Below are 19,720 nucleotides of genomic sequence, written 5' to 3'. Positions count from 1 at the left end.
CAGTACGGATTTATGCTTTGCCCTTTACCATCACCAGAAATTTCAGTTTCAGATATAATGAAGTTTTTTCCCTAAGGGTTCCTGTATTAGTCCGTTCTCCTATTGCTATAAAAACATACCTGGGACTGGGTCATTTATAAAGAAAAGAGGTTTAATTGACTTACAGTTTCACATGACTGGGGAGGCCCCAGAAAACTTACAAACATGACGGAAGGCAAAGGGGAAGCAAGGCACATCTTACATGGCAACAGGAGAGAGAGATTGAAAGGGGAAGTGCCACACTTTTAAACCATCAGATCTCATGAGAACCCACTCACTATCACGAGAACAGCAAAGGGGAAATCCATCCCCATAATCTAATCACCTCCCATTAGGCCCCTCTTCTGACATGTGGGGATTACAATTCAAGATGAGATTTGGGTGGGGACACAGAGTCAAATCATGTCAGTTCCCAAACGTGAGAATTCTATGACCTCCTAAAAAAACTCTTCCCATGTAGTTTCACTCCTCAAGTGTTTGAAGAGTGCTCACCATGTTCCAGGAGCCACAGGATGCCAAGAGGGAAGAAAAAAAAGTCGTGTTAAGTACATAAACAACTCCAAAAACACAAAGGAGCTATGTAGAGTAACAGTTAGGAGCATGGTCTCTGGAACAAGACTAACCAGGTTTGAACTATGGCTTAGCCACTTAGTAGTGGTGTGACTTTGTAAGCCACTTAGCCCTTCTGTTTTTAATTTCCTCACCTGCAAAATGGGGGGTAATAGTGACACTTCCAAAAGTTGATATGAGGCTTAAGTGTGTTAATTATGAAAAGTGCTTAGAATAGGGTCTGACACATATCAAGTGCTATATATATGTACATATATGTACTATGTACTATCAATATGTGCTATTAATTTTATTAGTGGTACTACATAATAGTACATTACATAATTAGCACATTATTAACAGTAAATATTATTAACATATACCATTAATTTTAAGATAGAATGTGACAGGTGACATAAGGCAGGTTAAGAAAACATCATGGATATTTAAGAAACAGCATATCTCACAAAATCTGCAAAAACTTTAAGGAGGAGGTGATTTGGTTTTTCCATTGAGTATGATAAGGACAATGAGAAGTGTAAGCGAATTAACCCCACAGAGGGAGAGAGGAGGAATTATGGCTTGAGAAAGAAGACAGAGGGTGCATAAAAGAGCAGGAAGGGAACCATAGGGCATTATCAGATAAAGTGGCTCCACACTGCCTCTTTCAAAATAAGCAGGACTTTGCAAGGCCTGAAGATGAAAACAGGCCATTGTAGTCGGTGCAAAAGCTCTGAATTTTGATGTAACTCCGTGTGTTCAGAAAATGTTAAGAGTTCAGTTTTGGCCAAATGTTAATTGCAGGGAGTTGTGGGTTAAGTGAAGTGGGTGCAGGAGAGGAGCAGAAGAGGGAGCTGGAAAAATTCACCAATACCACGCTAAGGGACTCGGCTTTACTATGTAGGCTGGTGCTTTTTGAACGTAGCAGGCATTCTCCTTGAAGTCTCTGCCTTAGAACCTATTGAAGTGTTGGTTAAAAATGCAGATTTCTGCTTGAGAACAGGAATTACAGATGAGTCTGGGCAACATAGTGAGATTTCATCTCTACAAAAAAAAAATCTTTTTAAAAACTAGCTGGGTGTGGTGGTACTTGCCTGTAGTCCCATCAACTTGGTAGACTAAGATAGGAGGATTCCTTGAGTCCAGGATTTAGTTTGAGCTGCAGTGAGCTACGATTATGCCATTCGCACTCCAGCCTGGGTGACAGAGTGAGACCCTATCTCAAAAAAAAAAAAAAAAAAAAAAAAAAGCAGCTTTCCCTGGGAGCCAGAATATTGAGATTAAATTGAGAGGGCTACAGACAAAGGAGGCAAATAGAGGTACCTCAGGGAAAGAGGACACTCCACAGTCACCTTCTGAGGCCCCTGCTTCTAACCTCTACCTCCCCAAGGTCTTGCTTTACTCTGCAGTATGAGGGAATGACATAGCCAGACAGGACAATTTATAGTCTCCTACTGTCCCCCATGGGTTGGCAATTATCACAGGAATGCTTAAGTGTATGTTTGAACCTTCTTTGAGATCCAGTGTGTGGGACCTCACTCCCTCACACGGTAGACAAGGCTACGTCAGGGAAGAAACAAGCCCATGGCCATTTGTGGGCATCAGAAATACATTGTGGAAGATCAGGAGTGGCCTGCAGACAGTGTGGGATCATTGTGAGGATGCTCGCTCCACACCAGAGCAACCCATCCAGACAGCCAGAAAGTAATGCAATGGCAACAGAAGCCCTCACAAAGATGTTGAAAATATAAGCTGCAGAGCCAGGAAAATGAGGAACACACATTTTTCTTTTTTTACGTTCTGGCAACAAATCTAAACAACCTTTCTTTTTGGTGTAGTAAATGCCTATGTCACCTTGGTTTTATGGGTGTCCCTTCAGATTCTACTCTTGCCTCACTTTTTTGTTGTTGTTGTATTCAAAGGGCCATCTGTATCCTTAATTTGATAGAACAGAGGCTGGGTCTGTCGTAAATTCCATTACTCAAACCAGCACCTGTATAGACTTCCTATTCACATTCACATGAGTAAGAGGATAAAACAGTCCCTGTTGAAGCTCAGACTGTTAGAGATAAAGAGCACTTGAGTGACTGAAACATAAGGGGTGCATCTTCCTGTGCAGACTAATTTGACAGTTTTGAGAGAGCAAAGTATACACACCCATATACTCAGTCAGCCAAATAATCTTGTTTGTAAAATCAATAAAGAATTCAGTAAACCATATGTTTTAAAATTAAATAATGATTTAATGCTCTTTCTGTTAGAAGGCTTGGAAAGTTTCTGACTCATTATAAAGCTTTGAGAATTTGTATTATGAGAAGGTAAATCCTAGAATTTTCAACAAAAAGTTTTTTGTTGAAGACACTCATGCACTGAATGGTGAAGCAAAAGGTACAGAGAGGAGAGGCTTTACAGAGATGCAAGAGGGCTGGAGTAGGTGAACTGGGGCCAAAAACAAAAAACTCTCCAAAATGAACTTTCACAAAATGTCCATCTAGCTTAATCCAGAAAAGATGTGGCATGGGCCAACGATGTTTATTTTAAAAAATTTGATTTTTTTTGTTTTATTTTCTATTCTTTCAGTCCCCTTTACTATTTCTGATGCTTGCCTTGCAGTGTTATTGCTCCTTTACAAACACTTCTACATTGTTCTTCACGGAGGCTTCTGTAGCACTTGGCTTTGGGTGTGAAGTGTTTGAGTGGCTTCAGGTGCAGATCTGATCTGCAAAACTAGGACTGAGAGCTCTGCAGGCAATACAAGAGTGTCCGTGTATTATATTATTCTATCAGCATCTAACTTACAGGGCCCTTAATAAATGCTCCAAACATAAGCTATCAGAGTAGGCAAGTTTGGTAATGTGAAGAAATCAGCAATACAAGTTTTTCTTTTTAATCTATAAGTTGTGTGCTGAATTGTGTGTAGTACTACAAAGATCCTGGGGAGCCTGTAGGTGACACGTATGATTTGCTGCAAGAAATTTCACAATTAATAACAATTCTAGGTCTATATGGTTGATTTGTGATAAAAGTCACCTATGGCAAAAACAAGAGAGAAGTTGTAGGGAGTAGTTTGGGAAGTGGTAAGGTGAGCAAAGGCAGGAATCTTCTGGACACCAGGAATGTAAATTGGGGGAAGAAAAATATTCCAAATTTTCTAGTCATTGAGGAACTGCCAATAGCATTAATTATGAATCATCTATGTGAGCTGTAGAATGGTCTTTTCTGTGTTTGTTCATCCATTCAATAAATACATACTGGGGGTGGCCATGTGCCAGGCACTCTCTGGACAATGAGGATACATCAGTGAACAAACAGAGCAAACTCCCTACCCTCATAGAGCTTGCTTACATTCTAGTGAGCAGAAGACTGGCACCACACAAATAGACAAATATCTCATGGTGTGTCAGATGGGGATGCATACTCTGAGGAAAAATACAGTATGTTGAGCCAGAAAGCTTGGTGGGTGGGGATGGGGCTGCTGATTTACACAGGATGGTCAGAGCAAGTCTTTCTGACAGATGTCATTTGAGCAAAGACCTGATGGAGTGACAGGATAAGGGCGCAGCTACTAGGGGGAAGATCATTCTAGGTACAGGGAAGTTGAAAGACCTCAGGGTGACCCTAAGTTGATTGGAACTTACAAATCCTGCCCTTTTCTGATTGACAGTGCATTAGTGGCATCTGAAATATAGAAGCAAACTTGTAAAAGAAAACTGGGCTTTCTTTGACAGTGGTGTGTCTGCATATCTTTTTTTTAAAAAAACATTTTACCATCATCATTGCTTAGGAAGGCAGTACAGCACATTAGAAGAGCTAGGCCTTTGGCAACCCACACTCCTGAGTCCAGATTCTGGTCCCAGCTCTATTGTCTGTGGCAGGCTGTGCAGTGACTCAACCTCCCTGAAAAATGAGAATAGCAATGCCTGTCTTAAAGTACCAAGTGCAACTGTTAGTGGAAATGTAAATTGGTATAGCCATTATAGAAAACAGTATGGAGGTTCCTCGAAAAATTAAAAATAGAACTATCATATGACCCATCAATCCCACTTCTGGGTTTATATCTACAGCAAATGAAATCAGTGTGTCAAAGAGGTATCTGCACTCTCATGTTCACTGCAGCATTATTCGCAACAGCCACACTATGGAAGTACCTAAGAGTCCATCAATGGATAAATGGATAAAGAAAAGGTGATTATGTACACACACACACACACACACACACACACACACACACACACAATGGAATATTACTCAGCCTTAAAAAAGGAAGTCATACCACTTACAACAACAATGGATCAACCTGCAGAAAAATTATGCTAAGTGAAATAAGCCAGACACAGAAAGACAAGGCATGATCTCATTTATACATAACATCTAAAAAAATCAAACCCATAGAAGTAGACAGTAGAACGATAGTTGCCAGGGCCTAGGGAGTGAAGGAAATAGGAAGATGTTAGTCAAAGAGTATAAATATTTAGTTTATAAGATAATAAATTATAGGTATCTAATGTACAGCATAGTAACTATGGTTAATAATGCTGTATTGTTTGCTTGAAATTTGATGAGAGAACAGATTTTTTTTTTTTCTTTTTGAGACAGAGTTTCACTCTTGTTGCCCAGGCTGGAGTGCAATGGTGCGATCTCGGCTCACTGAAACCTCCACCTCCCAGGTTCAAGCAATTTGGCCTCAGCCTCCTGAGTAGCTGGGATTACAGGTATCCCCCCACCATGCCCAGCTAAGTTTTTGTATCTTTAGTAGAGACGGGGTTTCGCCATGTTGGCCAGGCTGGTCTTGAACTCCTGACCTCAGGTGATCCACCCACCTCAGCCTCCCAAAATGCTGGAATTACAGGTGTGAGCCACCACACCCAGCCTGAGAGAGCAGATTTTAAGTGTCCTTACCACACATACATATAAATACACAAAATGGTAACTATGGGTGGTAATGTGTTAATTAACTTGACTCTGGTAATTGGTACACAATATATATGTATATCAAATCACCATGTTGTACACCTTAAATATATGCAATTTTTATTTGTCAATTAAACATATTAAAATAAGAAAGTACTCCCTCTATAGGTTCTGGGGTACTTGGGAAATTCAGAGCAAATTCTGCTAAATGGAGAATAGTCTTAAATCTATTTTTTATGTTCACATGTGAAATAATTTCGGCTCAAATATTTTAACAAGTAAACATATTTTACTTCCAAAAAAAAAAAAAGAGCAGCAAGCATAATCCCTGACTCCTCAAATTTCGGTTGTTTTCCTCTTTCCTCCTCTCTCGGGAATGACATTATTTATTATTGGAAATTAAGGTTTGAGGCAATGAAACCTAACTGTGCATCCTAGTGCAAAAAATGAACACTGATAATTTCTGAAGTTTCTACTCTTGTTTCTTCTTTACATTTAACCTTCATTTTACTTCATTTTCCCGTATCATTGACATATATGTGTACATTATTAATTATACATTAAGAAAGACTAAATGCAAGTGAATTCAATTCAAAAAATTTATGGAATATCCATTATGTAGAATATAATGCAATAAATACAAAGGTCAACATCAACCACGTCTGTCTTCAAGTTTACAGTCTAGAAGAAAACACATAAGCATATATAGTTTTAACACAGGGCAGGGGCAACATGAACAGAAATCTATACAGTAAATGCCAGAAGGGCTGGCAGAAGTTAAAGCACTATTTCTCAGAGCCTGAGAGATGGGACCTGGAAGCAGGCCATGCTTGATGGGAGGAAGGACTCTATAGGTGGATATGTAAGCAGGGATGAGAGAGGATGCTGCTGGAGGCAGAAAGAAAAAATGAAGGAGCCTGAGGAAGAATGTGAGGGAAGCAAGAGAGTAGAGAGTGCTGAGAATAATATTTTAAGATGGGCAAATCTTATTATTGATTGATTGATTGATTGATTGACTTTTGTGAGATGGAGTCTCGCTCTGTCACCCAGGCTGGAGTGCAATGGCGTGATCTCGGCTCACTGCAACCTCCACCTCCCGGGTTCAGGTGATTCTCCTGCCTCAGCCTCCTGAGTAGCTGGGACTACAGGCGCACACCACCATGCCTGGCTAGTTGTTTTTTTTTTTTTTTTTTTTTTTAGTAGAGATAGAATTTCACCATATTGGCCAGGCTGGTCTCGAACTCCTGACCTCATGATCTGTCCACCTCAGCCTCCCAAAGTGCTGGGATTATTAAATTAAATGAGAAGAGCAATTCTGGGGAATGTTGTAAACTTCTTTATTGGACTCTTCTTTTATGTGAGGTTTGACCTTTATATTGAATCATTTAGGCTAATATGCTGTCGGATACATGTCATTTCTATCTGCAAAGTCTAAATTTGGGTCAGTTGATAAGAAAAAATTGTAATGAGGTAAGGACTCAGGAGTAAACTACCTTTCCCTTTCGGGTAATGATCTGATTCTGATCCACTCTAAGATGCTTATGAAGAGTATTCCTAATTCTTATGAGCCAGTCAGACACAGGTCTGAAACATCTATGGAGACTCAGTAGTTCAAGTTGCAAGTAGAGATTTATTGCCAACCCAGCCCTTCAATGTAGTTTAAGACTCTAAAATCTACTTCATCATCCTCTGAGAAAAGACAAAAACTTGGTCTCTTTCATTTACTTTTTCCCTTCTCTGAAAAGTCCAATCTTGATTCTATATGGAGACTTTAAAATGTTTTGAAGGAGGGAATCTGAGTCACAGAAAAGTAACTGTAAATACACTTGGTAGAATTTGAATAATTTTTCAACTTTCTGCATTTCAATTGTCTGCATATGCAGACAATAGCCAAATAAAATTACAAATCATGGTGTGCCACTTCAGAGTTTTGTTGAAAGAAAAACGTCATGTCAAATCTCAGCCAAAAGGTGGGCTATAAATAAATACTCATATTCTTAAGTTACAATTTCCAAAGTTGTTTCACTATACAAAAGGGAATATTTTTAAAGCATCTCGTTGGCAGTTCCAGCTTGTGAGAGCTTATTGAGAACCCCAAATCAACTTGATTATATTAGTATTTGTCATTTACTATTGAGGCAGAGATGGAACCACACAGACATTCTGCTACTATTAAATAGTAAGATGAAAATAATCCACATTTTTCTTATCCTGCTAAAACAAATATTTTTGAGTTTCAGAAGCAGGCCACTTGCCCTAGCACATGAAGCCATCATACTAGAATAGCAGTTTCCAAAGATCCAAATGAGCAACTAATCCAACCTCCTTATCATGTTTGTGTAGAAGCAGAGTCCTAGAGTGGTTAACTTGTCCATGCTGTCCAGCACAGGCACTCCATTCAAGATGGATAGTTACATAGCACCTAAGACATGGTACTCACAGATTACTGTCTTTGGACAGTACTGGGAACCATAATCATCTTGCCCTGTAGTATCTGGCCTGGATTTCTAGCACGAATCTAACAGTAATTTGTGGACCCCTTGGTTCTTGGAAGTCCCCTATGTTACTTTAATTTTCTTCTAAAGAAAAAAATTATCTGAAAGAAGTTGTGTGTGCTCTGTTTCCCCTTCCCTTCCACCTCCGAGAGAGAATTATTTTTTGCCCTATAACTATTGAGTTAAATTGTCTGAAAGACATCTTGAGAATAATAGGCTTTTAAACTCCAGCAGCTAATCTGATATCAGGACAATAAACAGAGGAAAGGAAGTATGGAGGAAAGACTTATGTCTCCTATTTGTCTGAGATTCCTTTTGCATTAACCACCTGCTCTTTGGCTCATTTATAATTCTTCCTGACAGATTGCTACTTGGCATTGTTAATAGTGACCTATCAGAATTGCAGTGTAGCTTCAGGCCACAGATTGGAGCAGGTGAAGACAAGAGCAAGAAACAAAATTGTGACCTCCGTACCACCTTCTCACCCATATACCACCTTCGTGCCTCTATACGCTGATGCTCCTTGAGATGAATGAATGGAGCAAACTTGGTGGCCTGTATAAGTTCACAAATGCCTCAAGGACACTTTTCCTTGCGCTGACCAGCCCTTTTTGAAAATAGATGTTTTCCCTTCAGATTTGGTACCCATATCCACATGGGAACATGGCTGGGCAGATCTTGGGCCATTCTTACTATTAGAGGACATAGTGAATATTCAAACAAAGAACTTCAAAGATAATGCTAGAATTTTGTTCTAGCATCTCTATTGCATCCATTTACCATAGGTAATGTACGCAAATATTAAAACAGCCAACCAAATTGAAAAAATTGTTTTAATTATTGGTTATCATGTGACCCTGATGAAATGTTGCTTAACAGCTATTATTTTTAATCTACACAAAGTGATGTTGATTATGGACATCATTATATGGTGTTGAGATGACCATCAGATAACATGGTCATTGCAAAGATGCCCCGTATTGACAATCAACTCCAGAAAAAATACAAGGGGGTAGCTATAAACAGGATGAGAAAAATCTGCCCAGCCCAAGAAAGACTAGTGCTTTTAGAATAGAAACTCTATATACATCCCATGATTCCCTAAAACAAAACCAAAAAAGTACGATGCCAATATCCAGAAATCTTTGTACATTGTATGATGATATATTAATTAAAAAGAAATTGAAAATAAAGCAAAACTGAAATATGGATAATGTAGTAGGGAAACCGATTACATATTAAAAATCATTTTAGTTATTTAACTAGCACGCACATTCCAGTCATTGCTGCAAGCACTTGACAATCACTAACCTCTCAGTCCTCATGACATTCTTATGAGGGATGTACTACCTTGAATGCTGAGTTCTACTTTCTGGGTTCCCCTCCTCTCCTAGATCTCAGCAAAGTAATTGCTCCCTTTCTTGATAGTTATTTCATGCCCCCCTTTAAAGCATTATAGTCCTAATGTCTTTATATTAAATAACTGGCAAATACAAAGAACACATATCATTATAATGAGGAATAAAGTATTTGTCTCACCTAACTAGCCAACTAACCAAGACTCTGTTTACTTCACCAAGCTATAAATTCAACATTCTTATTTCTCTGAAAAATTTTAAATATACAAAATAGAATGTTGCAATGAGCTCTCATGTATCCATTACCCAGATTTTAACTATTATTAAGATTTTCTTATACTTTACATCTCTTTCTCTGCCTTCCCTCCTCTCTCTACCTGTCTTCCTCCTGTCTCTTTTTCTTTCTCTTCTTCCTTCTCAACTATTTTTAAAATAAGTGCCAGATATCAGGTTATTTTACCCCTAGAATTTCAATATCTATCTCTAAAATAACATGGAAGTTTTCTTCAATAATTATGGCCTATGTTGTCATCAATACAACTAAGAAAAGGATTAATGGTATTTTGATACTATCTAATACTAAACTTTTTCTAATTGTCTTGGTTTGTTTGAGTCAGAAGCCAAACAAAGCCCACATACTGTATTTGGTTGTTACATCCTTTAAATGTCATTTAATGTAGAGTAGCTTCCTCTTTCTTCTTTTTTTAAAATAATTTTATTTTTCATCCCATTGATTTATTGAAGAACCCGAGTCAATTGTCTCACAGAATATCACACATTCAGTTTTTCAGTTGGCTTCTTTGTCATTTAACTAGATCCTTCACCTGCCATATTTCCTATAGTGGAAGTTAGCCACAAAGACTCGATTAGATTTGGATTTTATTATTTTTACAGGGATATGTACTGTGGTGATGCTGTGTACTTTGGGTTGAATTACAGCAAGAAGATACACTCTTACTGATGCTGAGATTGATGAATAATTGGGTTCAAGTGATGACAATCTGATGCATCCTTGGTATAATTTCCCATCAACCTTTCATCTTGTGGCTTCATCCATTCATGATTGTCTTAGATCATAATCTATTATTTCATTGGGGTTGCAAAATTGTGATTTTCTAATCATTTCACTTTTCCTATATTTATTGCCTGGAACTTTGTAAAGCAGAAATTGATCTTATTACCTAGGTTTATTTGGTTTCCCAAAATATAGTTCATGCTGGAGAAACTTAATATATGCTTAATTTTTTCATATTAATCACATATTTTTAAAGAGTGTTGCTCTTCTTGTTACAGTGGTGTCCAATAATTTCTCTCCTTTTATAATTTTATTATAAACACATAGGCTTTTACATATTTATTCTGTTGCCAATAATTGCTTTCATTATCTTTTTTATGCCCAAATATTCTCATCTTTGGCCAGAAAAACCTCTGTGTACTTTCACATAACTCTATTGGTCTTTGGAACCTTCCTTGTGTATTTTGTATATTTTTTGCCTGAGAGCTGGAATCAGCCGCTCCTCTAAGTAATTCTGGTTTTTACAGACTGGAATAGTATTTGGAGACCACAAACTAGGTGCACTAATTTCTGTTGAGTTATTTTCTTTTATGCTTTTTCATGGAAAAGAACTAAGAATATACATTTTATAAATAAAATTTTATGCTTATATTGCTATTTTATATTTAATAATGCAGAATTTTACATATTTTACATAATGTTTTAGCTTTATACTGAATTTCTTTTCTCATATCTAAAAATCTTGATTCCTTACAACAGTAAGATAATTACTTGCATTATGTAAATTATAAATTAAAACACTGTAAAATAAGTACAGTATAGTAATGCCAATATCACTATTGAGTAAAGTTTAAGATTTCCTTGTAGTTCTGTATTCCCTTACATAATATTCTTTTAAAGAATGTTTTTCTTTAAAATCTTTTACTGGTAGTCAGAATATTATGTCCCAAAGTCACCTGAAATAATTTTTTTCTTTGTGTGGTTATGGCACAAACAATTAGATTCATTTGTTTTCATTAATTTTCTGTTTTTAGAGATTCCCTTATTTTGTTTTTTATTTGGTTTTCTTCTATGAATATATTTACCTTGTTCCAAGTTCAAAACTTTAAAACCAGGTATATTCAAAGAGGTTTTATTTTCATCCCTGCCCACTTTGCTATGCTTCCTCTGTCCACATATAGGTAAACATTTTCATTAGTTCCATTAGGTTTTCCTTTTGTTGTTTCTTTTTTGGCAAACAAAAACATACAAGTACAGACACTTATTTACCACCCCCTTCCTGCTGTTCTTACATGAAAAGTAGAATACTATATATTCCTTTCTGACTCTTTATTTTGTTCTTTCAATAATACATCCCAAAGATCACTTTGTATGAGTAAATTAAGATATTCTTCACTCCCTCTTATAGCCGCATAATGTTGTATTATGTGTTATCCACCTTTTTTTTAGTTGTCTTCGATGGAAAGCCTATTCTAAATTACTTAGTTCCCCATTACCAATGTCATCGTCTTAGGTCTGTAGATAAAAAGTTTGTTTGACAAGCATAGCCTCATGCCCCATATTTGGTGTTAGGAGGCAACTGCTTAGTGTAGCTTCGTTGGGTGCAGCAGAATCTTTTCTTACCCCTGCCCTCTGGCATTCTGCTCTAGTGGAGTATAAAAAAGACCACAGTGCTATTTGTGAATGTTCCCAAGATTTTCCGTCTATCTTACCCTTCACTTGTAAGAACGTTGAAATGTGCCACCACATTGAAATATGCCGCCATTTATTTCCTCTCCTGTTGTTTCTTGAGGGCTGCAGCATCTGGTGGATTCTCTGATTCATTTGTTCAAGAAATGTTTATGTAGTATCAACCCTTTGGCAGGCCCTGCGCATTGACAGAAACTAGGTATGGTCCTTGCCCTCCTGTGGTTTTAATGGAAAGACAAACAATATAAACAAGTAAAATTATTAATTAAGGAGTGATAAATTATGATAAACAAGATAAAGGAAAAACACTAGCATGCAGTTTGAGAGAATAATGGTAGTTGTGAAGAACTTCTATAAGGAGCTGCCACTTAATACTCAAATCATGAGGGAGAGGCTGCCAGATGAAGAAGAAGGAAAACACTCCAAACACAAGGACTGTGATACGCAAACCTCTAAGGCAATAAATAAATAAATAAATAAATAAATAAGAGCTTTATGTGTTTGATGAACTTATAGGCTGGTGTGGCTGAGGCAATATGAAGAGAAAATGACCAGATCACATAGGACTTTGGAGTTAGGATATGGCAAGGAATTTGGATTTTACATAAAGGGAAATTTGATGCTACTGAAATAAGTAGGTAATATTAATGCAGTTTAAGTTTTAATAAGTTCACACTGGGTGCTTTGTGGAGATTAGATTAGAGCAGGCAGGGAACTCAGTGTAGGAGGCTATGGTAGTGATGAAGGTGAGAGATGACGGTGGCTTAGGCCAGGGTGTTGGCAATGCTGATGAGAAAAAGTTACATATTTAAGATACATTCTTGAAGATAAAGTCAACAAGACTTGGTGGTTGATTAGATGTAAATGGGAAAGATGGAATAGTGGTAAAGAAAGGGAGGAAAGAAGAATGAATTCCAGCATTTCTCTTGATCAGCTCAGTATTGACTTACATAGGGAAGACTGAGGGGAAGAAAGTTATTAATGTGACTAAAGAAAGGTGGTGCGGTGTATGGAGCATGGGGAGGGAGCAACAAAAATCTGACTACCCTCACCACAATCAGACCATTCCCATTCACCTTGCCAGTTCAGATTTTGAGGTTGCTTCATTCATGAGCTGAAGCATGTGTTCTCAATGTTGTCCACCTTCATTGATTCTTTCTTTCTTCAAGACCGAGTTTCGCTCTTGTTGCCCAGGCTGGCGCAATCTCGGCTCACTGCAACCTCTGCCTCCAAAGTTCAAGCAATTCTCCTGCCTCAGCCTTCCTGAGTAGCTGGGATTATAGGCATGTGCCACCATGCCCAGCTAATATTGTATTTTTAGTAGAGACTGGGTTTCCCCATGTTGATCAGGCTGATCTCGAGCTCCCAACCTCAGATGATCCGCCCGCCCCGGCCTCCCAAAGTGCTGGGGTTACAGGCACCTTCATTGATTCTATTGTCAGTGCACATGCCTCTAAGATCCTAGCAAAAGGTTATCAGTCATCTGTGATTTCAATGGTAATATTCATTTTCATTTTTTACTGTGACTTCGTAGGTATGCTAATGGAGAATTAGAAGCAGTTGCATGAGGGGATACTAGCTAGGCATCGTTTTAAATTAGAAATATGTTATTTATTTTTTAAAAATTATATTGCTAAAAGTAACTTTATTCATGTGTAGGAGTATAGCTGAGAGTGTGGTTGTCTTTGATTTCTTCTTTACAGCCTGCACATAGACTGTCCTTCAGACTCACAGTGCAGAGGGAATAACACTGGACTTGAACTCGTATGACATGATTCTACAATTTTACTTCATGTAGTATACCTCAAAGTGGTATTGAGAAGATCAAATCGGACACCATATGCCACCTCTAGCACATCAATACTTTTCTTCTTCTCTTTCTCATCTTTTCCCTACTTTTATCAAGCAAGTATATTATGTTCTGAAAGAAGTCAAGAAAAATACCAAGAAATTGATATCATACATGAAGCTGTTTTGAACCCTACAGAAAACAATTTAATATTTTCATTTACTTTCCTATTTAAGTTGAAAAATATTTGTTTATTAATAGTACAGGCATCAGAGCATGGAAGTTAAGATCCAGCATGCTGAGCTGGCTGCCTTTTAGCTTCACTTGCCACTCTCCATGTAGTCAGAAAAAGTTACTTAGCATCTCTGTGACCCAGATTCTTCACCTGTAAAATGAGAATAATTACAGTTCCCATTTTATAGGATTGCTATAATTATAAAAGGACTTAAAGGAGTTAGCATATGTAAAATACTTAGACGAACGCTTAGCATATAGCAATGCGGTATAAATTTTAGCTATTATAATTATCTTGTGCTAGACAGTAATTTAAAATAGAATGCGGTTTATTCTCCAATAATAATATAAAAATAAAAACTATATATTCATTAAAATTTTCTTCAACACAAATTACTAAAAGATAATAAAGCAATAATTATGGAATATTTCAATGAATCATGAAGAGTCAACAGTTTTATACCCAGCCCAGCTAAAATTCATGCACAAGTGCCCCAAAAACACATTATCTGATATTCAAGTATATAAAGATTTTTTGTCTGTCTCAAAAAGTGAAATAAAATAAAAATAAATATAAGAATAGAAAAAGTATAGTATAAACAATAGTTAAAAATCCTTATACTATATATAAGAATCAATTCAAAATGGATTAAAGACTTAAGTATAAAACTTAAAACTATTAAAACAAGGGAAGATAACCTAGGAGATATCATTCTGAACATAGGACCTGGCAAAAATTTCATGACAAAGATGCCAAGAGCAATTCCAACAAAAACAAAAATTGACAAATGAGACCTAACTAAACTAAAGAGCTTCGGCACAGTAAAAGAAACTATCACCAGAGTAAACAGACAACCTACAGAATGGGAGAAAATATCTGCAAAGTGTGCATCCAACAAAGGTCTAATATCCAGAATCTATAAAGAACTTAAACAAACCATCATGCAGAAAACAACCCCATTAAAAAGTGGGCAAAGGACATGAACAGACACTTTTCAAAAGAAGACATACATGTGGCCAACAAGCATATGAAAAAATGCTGCATCACTAATCATTAGAGCAATGTAAATCAAAACCACAATAAGATACCATCTCATACCAGTCTGAATGATCATTATTAAAAAGTCAAAAAATAACAGGTGCTGGTAAGATTGCAGAGAAAAGGGAACACTTACACACTGCTGGTAGAAATGTACATTAGTTCAGCCACTATGGAAAGCAGTTTGGCCATTTCTCAAAGAACTCGAAGCAGAATTATCATTCTACCCAACAATCCTATTATTAGGTATATACTCAAAGGAATATAAATCATTCTGCCATAAAGACACATGCTCATGTATGCTAATCGCAGTGCTATTCACAACAGCAAAAACACAGAGTCAACCTAAATGCCTGTCAATAGTAGACTGGATAAAGAAAATGTGGTATATATACACCATGGAATACTAAACAGCCACAAAAAGAATGAAATCATGTCTTTTGCAGCAACCTGGATGCAGCTAGAGGCCATTATCCTAAGTGAAGTAACACAGGAACAGACAACCATATACCACATGTTCTCACTTATAAGTGGGAGCTAAATGATGAGAACACATGGACACAAAGAAAGGAACAACAGACACCAGGGCCTACTTGAAGCTGGAGGGAGGAAGGAGGATGAGCATCAAAAAACTAAATTATCAGGTACTACGCTTATTACCTGGGTGGCAAAATAGTTTATACACCAAACCCCCATGACATGGAATTTACCTATATTACAACAAACCTGCACATTTACCCCTGAATTTAAAATAAAAGTAAAAAATACATGAATAAACACAATGAATAAAATATACACTAAATCTAATTAACTGTTGTTAAAAGATCACAAAACAATGCATATGTCAAAAAATAGTTCTTGAAAGATAAGTTTTAAATATAAATAAAAGAGATATAGAAACAACAAACTGAGAAGTGAAAAGGAGAATAATGAGATAGGGGAGAAACTAAAGAGAATAGGAAATGCCTCTATCCTGGTTTCTATTGTACTCCCAATGCTAGGTCAATGCCCAGCAAGGAGTAGGTCCTCAACAAATGTTTATTGAATGAGTGAATATTCACTTAAAATATTGCAGAAGGATAAATTAACATGAAATTTTAGTTTTTATTATTAAAACTAGATACATGTATTATTATTACACATCTGTAATTAACTACCAACAGAATAAAAATTGAATGTTTCTATTCCAATTTATTTGAGACAATAAATAAAATAAAATATAATTGATATGAGAAACAAAAAAAGCAATGAAATATGAGAAACACAAAACAAAAACAAGGCAAAAGAAGATCAAACTTAATAATAGCTTGTTCTTATGTTATTAAAATGAGCTCTTGATTAGTGAAAACAACTTGTGTTTATGTTTAAAACAAAATTCAGCTACATACTGCTTATGAAATGATCAGTTAAAATAAAATAACTCAGAAATGTTGAGAATAAGTTTTGTAACTTATCTATCAGTTATCTGTTATCTATTAGCAAATAGATATCTATCTATTTGTTATCTATCAGGGAATCCCTGTTATCTATCACGGAAACAAAAAATAAAGTAGGAATCAAGAATGTGAATATTTGATTAATTAGTTAACATAAGAACTCTTTGTACCTTAAAAAGAAAGATCAGAAACTCTTTTCAAGTATCAGTAGAATGTAGGATTATATTTCTATATGAAACTAAAAAACGATCCCTACACAAATACCCCAAAGTAAAAATTGTAAAGGCCATCTTTGATGGCTTCAATTTAACAAAATAAGAAATTATTGTCTTAATATTTAACATTTTTAGAATTGTCATTAAACAAAAATTTTAAATGTTTCTATAATAGTTGAGTTATAGGAAAAAATATGTAATTACAAAATCTTTACAATATAAAGAAAATGAGGATACTGCTTATTAGATCGAGAACACAACTGAATTAGAACAAATTCAAAACCTTAACTTTGTTGTTAAAATATTAATTCATCAAAACAAATAAATTAACTATGCATTAAACTGAAGAAAAAATAAATGGAACAACAAAAATACACCTAAAGTTGGCCAGGCGTGGTGGCTCAAGCCTGTAATCCCAACACTTTGGGAGGCCGAGGCAAGCAGATCATCTGAGGTCACAAGTTCGAGACTAGCCTGGCCAACATGATGAAACCCAATCTCTACTAAAGAAAAAAAAATACAAAAATTAGCCGAGTGTGGTGGCGTACACCTGTAATCCCAGCTACTCAGAAGGCTGAGGCAGGAGAATCGTTTTAACCCGGGAAGCAGAGGTTGCCCTGAGCTGAGATTACACCACTGCACTCCATTCTGAGTAACAGAGTGAGACTCCATCTCAAAAAAACAAAACAAAACACCTAAAGTTAACAGGCAAACTAAATATTACATTAAAATATCAAAGTGTATTAATTAGAAAATACAGAATTGATTAACACAATAGCTGATTCTTATAAAATTTCAATTAACAAAATTATAAATATTAAAAGTAATAAAGGAGTATGCAGAGAGAAATTTTAAACAAAATAATATGATAGTTAATCTCAAGATATTCACTTATATATCTTGGAAAGTAAGTAGCAGAATTTACTTATGATATTGTAGAAAACCTGAATATCTAATAACCATGGAAGAAATGAAAATGTTATTTTAAAGTATTTATAAGAAAAGACATTGTGGCTGTACGGTTTTATCAAGAATTTTTTTCAAACTTTCAAGGAACATGTAATTACCATGCTATATGAAATTAGAGACCAAAGGAAAATCTAGGAAGCTTTTCATTTTACGAAGCTTGCACAGCCCTGATTCAAACTTGAAAGAAATACAAACTACAGGTGAATTTCGTTTTTAAGCAGAGATGTAAAAACTTAAACAACATACCATAAAATAGAAATAAAAAGCAACATATAAAGAACTACCCGTTAAAACCAAACAGCAATACCACAATGCAAGAACAGACCATAACTCATCGCATCAACTATGGATAATAAGACAACCTATTTTGCTTAGGTTGAATTTTCTAATCAATACAATAAGACTTTTGGAAAGGAAGAGGCAATTTAGTATTATTTGCAGTTGAGAAAATTACATGGTTAACAACCTCGAAAGAATCCACTAAAAAAATTCTGAAGTACTATTAAGAGATTTTAATAAATTGAAAAGATACAAATCAATACAACAAAAAGCCATCGCTTCCTATATTATAGTAATAACCAATTAGAGGTGGAACAAAAGGAAGGAAATAGCCAGGCGCGGTGGCTCACGCCAAGATCGCGCGCCATTGCACTCCAGCCTGAGCAACAAGAGCGAAACTCCGTCTCAAAAAAAAAAAAAGGAAATAATCCATAATCCATGTACATAGGAACAATCATAGTAAGTAAAGTAAAAAATATGCCGGGCATGATGGTTCACGCCTGTAATCCCAGCAGTTTGGGAGGCCAAGGCGGGCGGCGGATCACCTGAGGTCAGGAGTTCGAGACCAGCCTGGCCAACATGGTGAAACCTCGTCTCTACTGAGAATACAAAAATTAGCCGGGCATGGTGGCATGGGCCTGTAATCCCAGCTACTCGGGAAGCTGAGGCAGGAGAATCACTTGAACCCAGGAGGCGGAGGTTGCAGTGAGCTGAGATCATACCACTGCATTCCAGCCTGAGCGACAGAGTGAGACTCCGTCTCAAAAAAAATAAAAAATATAAAACATATGAAATTTCAAATCTTTCCTGATATCTATATCTATTCGTGTTCTTATGCATATTTAGGTCCTTATCAATATTTATTTATCTACACAGCGTTCCTAGATGGTAAGAACAAATTTGCAAAGGTATCAGTTCTTATATTAGTTTACAGATTTGATGCAATTGCTATTAAAGTCTCTAAATAATTTCTTAACTATACAATTGTAGAGTTTATCTGGAATGAGTCTGACCATCCAAGAACATGAAAATATATGAAGTGGAGAATTCCCTGCTAGATATTAAAATTCATCATATAAATGTAATATTTAAGACAGTAAAATATAGGTACTAGAATAGACATGTGAAACCATGTCTATTCATGAAGGTAGTTCAGAAACAGATTCTAATGGATTTATTTTTAACATATGGTAAAGATTCCTGAGCACCATTTACTGAGTCCTTTGTTCTCTGCTACGAACTACTACAAACTAGTAGAGAACAAAGGACTCAGTAAATGGTGCTCAGGTAAAGGGTTAACTACTTGGAATAAAATAAGACTATTATTTCTCATTATGCCATACACCAAAATTTCAATGAACTTAAGACAAATGATAAAGTTGAAACCAGTTTTCAAAAAACACAAAAATATATAGGTGAATGGGATACTAAGTAGGTTTTATTTCCAAAAAAAAATTTAAAATTCTAAAGATTGAAATATGCAATCTAGGAAAATATATCTCACATATACGAATGCAAAAGCTTAATAATATATACGTAATATTTAACACATAAAATCTCAGTGAAACAATAGACAATTCACAGAATAAGTCAACATGGCCACAAAATGTGAAAATGTTAAGCCTCAACAACTAAAAAAGAAATTCAGGTTTTAAACACAGGCCACTTTCAATCTATTAAATTAACAGAACTAGCACAACAGT

General features: G+C 36.1%; 2 protein-coding genes and 1 non-coding gene across 8 annotated transcripts in view; all 3 read right to left on the bottom strand.

Moving 5' to 3' along the window:
* The window catches only part of IQCJ-SCHIP1 (IQCJ-SCHIP1 readthrough), an 828,041-nt gene that overhangs the window by 595,409 nt on the left and 212,912 nt on the right, over positions 1-19,720 (bottom strand). The window lies entirely within an intron of this gene.
* Positions 1-19,720, bottom strand: part of SCHIP1 (schwannomin interacting protein 1) — a 624,116-nt gene that overhangs the window by 595,409 nt on the left and 8,987 nt on the right. The window lies entirely within an intron of this gene.
* On the bottom strand, positions 19,217-19,305 carry MIR3919 (microRNA 3919). The gene has a single exon (NR_037483.1). It is a non-coding gene; the product is annotated as a microRNA 3919 (primary transcript).

The sequence above is a fragment of the Homo sapiens genome, chromosome 3 (assembly GCF_000001405.40).
Source record: "Homo sapiens chromosome 3, GRCh38.p14 Primary Assembly".
Lineage (NCBI taxonomy): Eukaryota > Metazoa > Chordata > Mammalia > Primates > Hominidae > Homo > Homo sapiens.
Note: the sequence above shows the minus strand (reverse complement) of the source record. Positions and strands in the feature narration are given on the sequence as shown.